At 38.2% G+C, this 12,139-nt stretch overlaps 1 long non-coding RNA gene across 3 annotated transcripts in view; it reads left to right on the forward strand.

The window, feature by feature from the left end:
• Window positions 1-12,139, forward strand: part of EPM2A-DT (EPM2A divergent transcript) — a 151,717-nt gene that overhangs the window by 110,446 nt on the left and 29,132 nt on the right. The window lies entirely within an intron of this gene.

Consider the following 12,139-nt stretch of genomic DNA (forward strand, 5'->3'; position numbering starts at 1 on the left):
TTTATTTCTGCCAACGACCCCCTAGGGAATCAGTCTAAGGCTTAAATCCTATAAAAGCCATGGATGAATTTTCTAATGGGTGATGCAGATGGGTGTGGAAGCGTGTGGCTTAGGAGGAACTTGTGAGTTGCAGAATGAATGGCAAGAGAACACTTGCTATCAACATTCCTCCCAGCCACCTTTTAACATTTTAATATACAGGAGACAGTATTATGAATAGAATATAGAGGACATTTGTTAAAGAAATGTTAGCAAATCACTTTACTTTTACTTTTTACTTTTATTAAAAATTACTTTTACATTTTACTTTTATAAAAATGTCAGTATAACCTGGTCAACATAGCAAGACCCTGTCTCTACAAAAAAATAAATAAATAAATGAAAATAGCTGGGTGTGATGACTCACGCCGGTAGTCCTAGCTACTTGGGAGGCTGAAGTGAGAGGATCTATCACTTGAACCAAGAGGTGTGAAATTACAGTGAGCTACGATCATGTCACTGCACTCCAGCATGGGTGACAGAATGAGGCCCTGTCTTAAAAAAAAAAAAAAAAAGAAAAAGAAAATGACAATCTGCTTCCTAAGCATGTTTGTTGTGGAGATAAAATGAAGATTCAGAATATAGGTGAAAAGTGTTTGGAAATGGAGTTTCAAGGAACATGTCCTTCCATCATGATCTGGTCCCACTTGCCTCTCCAATCTTTCTATTCATCATTATCTGCTCCCATTCTCCCAAACTCTATACTTAGTCCTAAATACTTTCTGATCTCTTGTGCTTTGGGAACCTTTACAAATACTGTTCTGACCCAGTGTTCTCCCCTTTCCCCCAAACCCCGCCAAAATCTAGCTGCTACTCTCATTGTTCAGGTTCCCATTCCTATCTTGCTTTCTTCATCTCCTCAAACTGGATTTTAGGTATTTCTTCTTATGGCACTTCATTTATTATGTTTTGATTGCCAGTCTTCTTATTTCTTCCCTTCAATAGTATGGCTTTGCACATATCATCAGACCTAGATTAATGAGAAGGACACTCCCAGCTGTGTTCAAGTTGGATTATTAAAGGCCCATAATTTGACTGAAATGAATATGACATACAAAGTTTAATCTAGGTTTCTTCAGAGATAATATTCCACATCTTCAGTATTCCCTATCTTCAATTCCTTTCTTGTGTAATGATCGCAACATGGGTTTGACTTTTGAAAATCAGGCGTGTAACTGAGTAGATGCTGTATCAACGATGATAGTGATAGGTCTTCCAGATTAAAAGAGAACACTATTTTATGTGGTCTTAGAAATGCAAAAGTTCTATTCTGTGTGTTTAAAATAGTAGCTCAGAAGATAAACATTCTAGGCCAGGCCCGGTGGCTCATGTCTGTGATCCCAGCACTTTGGGAGGCCTAGGTGGGTGGATCGCCTGAGGTCAGGAGTTCGAGACCAGCCTGACCAATATGGTGAAACCCCGTCTCTACTAAAAATACAAAAATTAGCTGGGCGTGATGTCATGCACCTGTAGTCCCAGCTGCTTGGGAGGCTGACACAAAAGAATCACTTGAACCCGGGAGGCAGAGGTTGCAGTGAGCTGACATCATGCCACTGCATCCCAGCCTGGGCGACAGAGCAAGACTCTGTCTCAAAAAAAAAAAAAAAAAAAAAAGGTACAAGAAATATTCTGTTTAGACAAATGGGCTGAATTTATTTGACCAGCATGTGCAGCAAGCATATTGTAGGGAAAAACTAAGAGCCTTCTTACTAAAAACCTTCTGTTGTAATCCCTAGGTCTTTAATGACCCCTCTGGTGGAGGCCCTGAATCTGGTGTGTAAAGGGCAGATTAAAGATTGAGAAGGGTGCAAAGCATCCCAATTTGTGTTCAACTGCTTGCTTCCATTTAATCACACTTGCAGGTTTTATGACTAGTTAAACATCTTTTCATTTGTACTTGAAGATTAATTTTTTCTAAATCAATCTTCTGTGAGAAGATGGAGGGAAAGACTGCTTAGGTTTTTCTTTATGCTCCAACTGTACACCTTGGAGAAATATTTATGGTTCACCCCTGGTTCTTCTTATCTAAGGGAAGTAGCCTTGCTAACTCAGGAATGAACTTTAGACATCCTCAAAACCTGTCCTCTCACAGTCTGAGTGAGAAAATGGCCCGGAAAGTTCAAGAACTTCTCCAAGATGGCAGAGACAGGTTTAGCACCCAGATGTCCTGGGATCTCTCCCGAGCCCCTCACTTTGGCTTTTGATCTTTCACCACTTGATCTGGTCATGTTGTGGAACTTTATGTCCTCCAGGTCTGTCTTGGAGTTACTGGTGTGTAATTCCTCATTAACAAGTCTTTATAATCTGCCAGTATTTATTTACAGCCTCTCAGGGGTGATAAAGACATATATGATGGATATTTGTTATTTGAGGAGGGATTTTACCTTTAAAAATAAACTAAATAATTTAGAGGTAATTTGTAAGCAATACAGGTAACTCTGTTTTCCATTTTTTCCATTAAATGCTGATAAATAGCTTTAAAACAATAAAGCCAGTGTTGGTGGTGGCTTAAAAACAACCTCTAAAGGTCCTTTCAGAAAAGGAGTTCAAATAAGTTTAAATTGATTTCTTACTTATTTTAATATGTGAAAAAAATCGTATAGTTTTATAAGCTTTGTAATGTCTTCGCAGAATTATGATTTACTACCAAGTATAATCTAAATTTCCACAGGATGGTTAGATTTAATTGAGGTATCATCATTCTACAAAGCCAAACTTCTGAATATCAGGATGTTCTAGTTGTGTCTACAATAAGCCAAAGAATTTAGAGAATTCTGCATTTGAATTTAGGGTTTTTCTTATGATTGGCCTAAGCATAAATATTTCATATGTTTTTCAAAAAAGAGACAATTCCAGAATATTTTTTCTTTTCAAATTTGTGTTTGGTCTAGTGGGAAGCATATATTCTAAGAAACAGAATTATAGATCTTTTCTAGGCAATAGAAAAATTATACACATTTATATGGGTTTATATTGATGTATGTTCCTATTGGAAAAAAATTGTCTTAATTCGTTCTTACTGGCATAGCAAAACTAGATAATCTCACTTTGCCAGTTACAGTGACCTTCTTTTACTTTATGGATCAAATAGGGGAAAAAGTTCTTGGCAGTAGCTGAACCTATTTCTGTTTCTGGAACACAGTTCCACAAAAGACCAACTTTTAAAGAAAAAATGAATAAAAACTAATAAACAATATATGTTCCTCTTCCTGATTCAACCTAGAAGCAGATGGAGAGGCCATGGAGGCAAGTCCTGTGCTTCTATAGGCCTGATTCCTGTTTCTAAAATTGGATCTAATTCTATCAGTTTATGTCTCCTGGGAAACAGACACCAAAATGTAATTAGAAGAGCAAGAAATTAATCAAGAGTAATTCCAGTGAAAGATAAAGGGGAAAAGGGAGTAGGAATAGACAGGGAAAGACTCAGACTGTGATGTAAGTCTGACCCCTGTGGAAAGGAGAATAGGAAGGAAGGAGGATTGGATATGACTAGCCTCAAAGGGCAATAAGTATAGTACTGACAAAACCTCGGCGAAGCAAGAGAGCTCTGGTGCAAACATTGACAGAGGAGGAGCTCTGCATAAGGGACAGATGGCTAGGCCCTGGTACATCATACCCAGGCATTGGCTGGGAGCTATCCAGTCTTCTGAGGGCATTAGAGCAGGAGGCTCTCAACTGACTGCACTACTCCAGGTGAATAGCAAGTTCTTTTTATCTGAGGGGTGCATCTTGACTTCCCATTAGTAGTGAGAGATATTCAAATTTAATATTTACACTTTTCTTGGAAGGCACCTTTAAAGATTTCTTTTGTAGTCTGCCTTATTCTTGCAAACTATGGGGATACCTTGGGCATATTAAATAGCATCAGAGTAAAGTTGGGCTCCTGAAGTCAACTCATTCACAAGAGTCATATCAGTATCCTGCATGCCATTGTTTTCTACTAAAAAGCCCCAAACTGGAAATTCTATGTTTTACGCAAGATAATGAGGTGCATTTGTAACACAAATTCTCATTGCTAAACTGAAGGAAATATAGCAAAACTGTCAAAAGTAATGTGTACTAATCATCTTTTGAATAATTGGAGCAAAGCCAAGATTGTTACAAAACATGATTGGTTGACGTGCTACCAGGGACATTTCATGCCCTGTGCAGTTCTGTGAAATCAGTTTGGATTGTGATCTTCTAGTCCCCATTCTCTTTTTTTTTTTTTACTAATCCAGCAATCCATCCTCAGTTGATAAAAAATTAATTTTAAATCACAGAGGTCATTTATAGCTAGTGTATTAGTCAGAGTTCTCCAGAGAGAGAGAGAGAAATTATGAGGAATTGGATCCCACAATTATGGAGGCTGAAAAGTCTCATAATCTGCAAGCTGGAGACCCAGTAAAGCCAGTGGTATAATTCCAGTCCAATTCTGAAGGCCCGAGAACCAGGGGAGCGGAAGGTGTAAATTTCAGTTCAAGTGCAGGAGAAGACTGATATCTCAGCTCAGGCAATCAGGCAGGAAGCAAAGGGGAAAAATTCCTCCTTCCTCCATTTTTTTTTTTTTTTTTGTTATTGTTCTATTTGGGCCTTCAACAGGTTGGATGGTGCCAACCTATACCAGTGACAACCATCTACTTTATTTATTGAGTCCACTGATTGAAATGCTAATCTCATGTGGAAATACCCCAATGGACGCAGCCAGAAATAATGTTTACTCTGAGCACACCATGGCACAGGTGAGTTGACGCATACAGTTAACCATCACACCTAGGAACACAGGAACAATCAATTCTGTTAAGGGGACTCAGGGGACCAAGAAAGGAACTATGAGATTTTGAGAAGGAAGGAGACATTTGCAAGGCTAGTGGGGAGGGGCATTTCAGGCAGAGAAAACAACAGTAGCAAGTCCTGGTCAACACGGAAGTCCAGGACATACTACTCAGGAAATAACTATTTTTCTGATGTGATAGAGAGACAGACAGAGAGAGAGAGAGAGAGAGAGAGAGAGAGAGAGAGAGACAGAGAGAGACACACAGAGAGAGAGACACAGAGAGAGAGAGAGACAGACAGAGAGTCTGTGTCTATGTGTGTTATGCGTGTGTTTATCTTGTGTGTGTTTTGTCTGGCAGGGAAGAGGGAAGAGGAAGAGTGGGTGGAATGAAATCATAGAGAGTGGCTGGAAGAGCTTTATTTTGGTTCTCATAGGTTTTAATTAGTATCTTACAAAAGCTTTTTTGTGCTGTCTTTTGTGATGACAAGTGGAAACTTCTCCATCACAGATCTACTCTGCTCAATACAGTAACTTTTAGCCACCTGTGACTGTTTTATTTAAATTTAACTAAACTAAATTAAAAATTTCATTTCTCAGTTACACTATTCACATTTCAAGGGTTCAATGCCCATGAATGTCTACTGGCTATTGGATGCTACAGATAGAAACATTTAGATCATCACAGAACATTTTATCAGACAGCACTAGATGGACAATCCACAACTCAGCATTTTGCAATCATTTCTGTCCTAAAACAGACTAAAGAACTTTGGCAAGAGAACTTAATGACAGAATATTGGGCTATACCCAGTATTCTCCCTGCACGCATATATGAGTACTGCTGCAAAAATAGTTCAGAGATTTTCTTTGCATCTTCTGAGAAAAATTGAACTCCTACATGCACAGAGCTGTGATAATCGCTGATTTTCATTTTTAAACAAATTTAAAGGCTAATTGAGAGAGATTATTATAAGAGGAGGACTCTGGAATAATACTGCTGGGCTCATATTTGGTTCTGTCATTTACTAGGTGAGAGACCTTGGAGAAATAACTTAACTTCTTGATGCCTTGGTTACCCCACCTATAAAATGAATATAGAAACACAACATTCCCATAGAGTAATTATAGAGATCATATTAGTAAATATATGTCAAGAATTACAATAATGTCTGGTGGATAATATATGTTTTTAGCATTAACTAATATTATTACTAATCAGCCCTTTTTGTCAAGTAGGCACTAAATAGCCTAGTCTCTGAGCTGGATTTATGAGTCTGATTATATCTCATTATGGCAAGCATTCAATATCCATTTATTATTGTTGTTGTTATTATTATCTTTCAAATGGCAGTGTTGCCAGAAGGCAATTAGTAGTATTCTCACAAGGCCCTCCTCCTGATACCATCACTGTGAGAAAGGATTCTAACATATAGATTTGAGGAGTATACAAACATTCACACTGAAGCAATATGTTGAATAGAAAATATTTCTAAAAATCTAGAAAGGGATAAATAAGATTTCTACAAACAAGGTTTTGTTTTGTTTTGTTTTTTTGGCTGCAAAATTTTGTGACAGTGACTTCTGCTTTCTGGCAAAAGTGGAAAAACAAGAATGGATTTATCATGCTGTTTGAAACAAATTTAAAAATCCAGCAAAATATATGAAACAATGGTTTTCTGGACAGTGGCTATCAGGCAGTGCAGGAGAGTGATACCACAGAGAGAGAAAACAAACAAGATGAACATTATGTTTGCCCCAGATTACTTCCTTAAGAGCATTTTCAGGTCATGACACAGGGGTGGGGATCACTGGTAGATTCCAGCAGATTCCCTAGGTTGAGAACAGGGAACTAAGGGTCCAAGGATGCCCAAGTAGCTGGAGTTCAGAAGACAGAGTGTTTGCAAAAAGAGAGTTGCACCAAAAAGGAATCCAGGAAATAGGCAACGAACAAACCCTGACTTATAGCAGAGTACCAGTCAGTGCTCACATGTGAGAAAACTACCTGAGGCCAGGAAAAACATTACCTGAACGAATCAGAAAGAACAGTGCCTGACATTCACAACGGCTGAGAATTGTTCTTTTTTTCACCAGCCAAAGTGGAAATTTTCATAATTCATGGGGCACTGTGTAGAGTACTCAAGAAGGTCTTGCCTCAGTAAGTGGGAAATAATTAGACCTTTACCTAGCACTGCTTCTGACATGTCTATCAAATCATAAAAGTAAGATTCCCCAAAATCAAACTGTTTTCATGTAATTTAACTGCATCTCAGAACAATGCTCAATTGTATTTATAGGAATATTAGAATGCCCAGCACCCATAAAGGTAAAACAATGTCTTCCTCCAGTGAAAGATATTCCGGCATGCACTCATGATTTGGCTCTCTGTTTGTCTGTTGCTGGTGTATAAGAATGCTTGTGATTTTTGTACATTGATTTTGTATCCTGAGACTTTGCTGAAGTTGCTTATCAGCTTAAGGAGATTTTGGGCTGAGACAATGGGGTTTTCTAGATATACAATCATGTCGTCTGCAAACAGGGACAATTTGACTTCCTCTTTTCCTAATTGAATACCCTTTATTTCCTTCTCCTGCCTAATTGCCCTGGCCAGAACTTCCAACACTCTGTTGAATAGGAGTGGTGAGAGAGGGCATCCCTGTCTTGTGCCAGTTTTCAAAGGGAATGCTTCCAGTTTTTGCCCATTCAGTATGATATTGGCTGTGGGTTTGTCATAGATAGCTCTTATTATTTTGAAATACGTCCCATCAATACCTAATTTATTGAGAGTTTTTAGCATGAAGGGTTGTTGAATTTTGTCAAAGGCTTTTTCTGCATCTATTGAGATAATCATGTGGTTTTTGTCTTTGGCTCTGTTTATATGCTGGATTACATTTATTGATTTGCGTATATTGAACCAGCCTTGCATCCCAGGGGTGAAGCCCACTTGATCATGGTGGATAAGCTTTTTGATGTGCTGCTGGATTCGTTTTGCCAGTATTTTATTGAGGATTTTTGCATCAATGTTCATCAAGGATATTGGTCTAAAATTCTCTTTTTTTGTTGTGTCTCTGCCTGGCTTTGGTATCAGAATGATGCTGGCCTCATAAAATGAGTTAGGGAGGATTCCCTCTTTTTCTATTGATTGGAATAGTTTCAGAAGGAATGGTACCAGCTCCTCCTTGTACCTCTGGTAGAATTCAGCTGTGAATCCATCTGGTCCTGGACTCTTTTTGGTTGGTAAGCTATTGATTATTGCCACAATTTCAGATCCTGTTATTGGTCTATTCAGAGATTCTTCCTGGTTTAGTCTTGGGAGAGTGTATGTGTCTAGGAATTTATCCATTTCTTCTAGATTTTCTAGTTTATTTGCGTAGAGGTGTTTGTAGTATTCTCTGATGGTAGTTTGTATTTCTGTGGGATCGGTGGTGATATCCCCTTTATCACTTTTTATTGTGTCTATTACATTCTTCTCTCTTTTTTTCTTTATTAGTCTTGCTAGCGGTCTATCAATTTTGTTGATCCTTTCAAAAAACCAGCTCCTGGATTCATTAATTTTTTGAAGGGTTTTTTCTGTCTCTATTTCCTTCAGTTCTGCTCTGATTTTAGTTATTTCTTGCCTTCTGCTAGCTTTTGAATGTATTTGCTCTTGCTTTTCTAGTTCTTTTAATTGTGATGTTAGGGTGTCAATTTTGGATCTTTCCTGCTTTCTCTTGTGAGCATTTAGTGCTATAAATTTCCCTCTACACACTGCTTTGAATGTGTCCCAGAGATTCTGGTATGTTGTGTCTTTGTTCTCGTTGGTTTCAAAGAACATCTTTATTTCTGCCTTCATTTCGTTATGTACCCAGTAGTCATTCAGGAGCAGGTTGTTCAGTTTCCATGTAGTTGAGAGGTTTTGAGTGAGATTCTTAATCCTGAGTTCTAGTTTGATTGCACTGTGGTCTGAGAGATAGTTTGTTATAATTTCTGTTCTTTTACATTTGCTGAGGAGAGCTTTACTTCCAAGTATGTGGTCAATTTTGGAATAGGTGTGGTGTGGTGCTGAAAAAAATGTATATTCTGTTGATTTGGGGTGGAGAGTTCTGTAGATGTCTATTAGGTCTGCTTGGTTCAGAGCTGAGTTCAATTCCTGGGTATCCTTGTTGACTTTCTGTCTCATTGATCTGTCTAATGTTGACAGTGGGGTGTTAAAGTCTCCCATTATTAATGTGTGGGAGTCTAAGTCTCTTTGTAGGTCACTTAGGACTTGCTTTATGAATCTTGGCTTCAAAGAGAATAAAATACCTAGGAATCCAACTTACAAGGGATGTGAAGGACCTCTTCAAGGAGAACTACAAACCACTGCTCAAGGAAATAAAAGAGGATACAAACAAATGGAAGAACATTCCATGCTCATGGGTAGGAAGAATCAATATCGTGAAAATGGCCATACTGCCCAAGGTAATTTACAGATTCAATGCCATCCCCATCAAGCTACCAATGCCTTTCTTCACAGAATTGGAAAAAACTACTTTAAAGTTCATATGGAACCAAAAAAGAGCCCGCATCGCCAAGTCAATCCTAAGCCAAAGGAACAAAGCTGGAGGCATCACACTACGTGACCTCAAACTACACTACAAGGCTACAGTAACCAAAACAGCATGGTACTGGTACCAAAACAGAGATATAGATCAATGGAACAGAACAGAGCCCTCAGAAATAATGCCGCATATCTACAACTATCTGATCTTTGACAAACCTGAGAAAAACAAGCAATGGGGAAAGGATTCCCTATTTAATAAATGGTGCTGGGAAAACTGGCTAGCCATATGTAGAAAGCTGAAACTGGATCCCTTCCTTACACCTTATACAAAAATCAATTCAAGATGGATTAAAGACTTAAACGTTAGACCTAAAACCATAAAAACCCTAGAAGAAAACCTAGGCATTACCATTCAGGACATAGGCATGAGCAAGGACTTCATGTCTAAAACACCAAAAGCAATGGCAACAAAAGCCAAAATTGACAAATGGGATCTAATTAAACTAAAGAGCTTCTGCACAGCAAAAGAAACTACCATCAGAGTGAACAGGCAACCTACAAAATGGGAGAAAATTTTCACAACCTACTCATCTGACAAAGGGCTAATATCCAGAATCTACAATGAACTCAAACAAATTGACAAGAAAAAAACAAACAACCCCATCAAAAAGTGGGCAAAGGACATGAACAGACACTTCTCAAAAGAAGACATTTATGCAGCCAAAAAACACATGAAAAAATGCTCACCATCACTGGCCATCAGAGAAATGCAAATCGAAACCACAATGAGATACCATCTCACACCAGTTAGAATGGCAATCATTAAAAAGTCGGGAAACAACAGGTGCTGGAGAGGATGTGGAGAAATAGGAACACTTTTACACTGTTGGTGGGACTGTAAACTAGTTCAACCCTTGTGGAAGTCAGTGTGGCGATTCCTCACGGATCTAGAACTGGAAATACCATTTGACCCAGCCATCCCATTACTGGGTATATACCCAAAGGACTATAAATCATGCTGCTATAAAGACACATGCACACGTATGTTTATTGCGGCATTATTCACAATAGCAAAGACTTGGAACCAACCCAAATGTCCAACAATGATAGACTGGATTAAGAAAATGTGGCACATATACACCATGGAATACTATGCAGCCACAGAAAATGATGAGTTCATGTCCTTTGTAGGGACGTGGATGAAATTGGAAACCATCATTCTCAGTAAACTATCGCAAGAACAAAAAACCAAACACCGCATATTCTCACTCATAGGTGGGAATTGAACAATGAGATCACATGGACACAGGAAGAGGAATATCACACTCTGGGGACTGTTGTGTGGTGAGGGGAGCAGGGAGAGATAGCATTGGGAGATATACCTAATGCTAGATGACGAGTTAGTGGGTGCAGTGCACCAGCATGGCACATGTATACATATGTAATTAACCTGCACAATGTGCACATGTACCCTAAAACTTAAAGTATAATAAAAAAAAAAAGATATTCTGGCATGCAAAGAAGCAAGAAAACATGACCCTTAATAAGTAGAATAATCAATCAATTAAAACTGACACAGAACTCACACGTTAGAAATAACAGACAAAGATATTTAAAAGGTGTTATACTCCATGTCCTTCAAAATTAAGTAGAGACATAGTACTTATCAAAATATTCAAATTAAAATTTTAGGAATAAAAACTACAATTAGTGAAATTAAAAAACACACTAGATAGGATTAATGATATGGTAGACATTGCAGAAGAAAAGATTAGTGAGTTTATTTATTTATTTTGAGACGGAGTCTTGCTCTGTCACCCAGGCTGGAGTGCAGTGGCGTGATCTCGGCTCACTGCAAGCTCTGCCTCCCGGGTTCACGCCATTCTCATGCCTCAGCCTCTGGAGTAGCTGGGACTACAGGCGCACGCCACCGCGCCCAGCTAACTTTTTTTTTTGTATTTTTAGTAGAGATGGGGTTTCATCGTGTTAGCCAGGATGGTCTCGATCTCCTGACCTCGTGATCCACCCGCCTCGGCCTCCCAAAGTGCTGGGATTACAGGCATGAGCCACCGCGCCCGGCCATAGATTAGTGAATTTAAAGACACAGCAATAGAAACTATCAGAAATGAATCATAGAGACTAAAACAAATTTTAAAAATCTTAACAGAGCATCTGAGAGCTGTGAAAGAACTTCAAGTGGCCCAGTATAGATGTAGTTGGAGTCCCTGAGTGCCAAGTGATAGGGGGAATGGATAGAAAAATAATGGCCAAAATATTTCCAAATTTGAGACAACTAAAATCTATGAATACAAAAAAAATGAAGAAACAACACCAAGACACAATAAACAAATTGTTCAAGACCAGTGATAAAGAGAAAATCTTAAGAGCAGCTCAAGGAAAAAGAAACACTATCCATACAGGAATAAAGATATGTATAACAGATTTCTCAATAGGAATAATGTAAGTGAGCAGACAAGAGAGAAACATCCTTAAAGTGCTGAAAGGAAAAACACCTTTAAACTGCTAGACCTAGTAAAATAGCTCATTTTTTAAAAAGTGAAATTGGAAGAACTTAGAGCTAGCAGATCATCACTACAAGAAATGTTAAAATATGTCCTTCAATCAGACAAATGGTATCACATGGTATTATGGATCTACACAAAGGAATGGTAAGCACCACAAACGATAACCCTAAGAGTAAATACCTAACATTTTTTCCTTTATAGTTATATCTTCTAAAAAGATAAATGACTATTAAAACAAATTACAATGCATTCTGAAATTTATAAAAAGTAAATAAAATGTATATCAACAATAACATGAAG

Source organism: Homo sapiens, chromosome 6 (genome assembly GCF_000001405.40).
Source record: "Homo sapiens chromosome 6, GRCh38.p14 Primary Assembly".
NCBI classification, from domain to species: domain Eukaryota; kingdom Metazoa; phylum Chordata; class Mammalia; order Primates; family Hominidae; genus Homo; species Homo sapiens.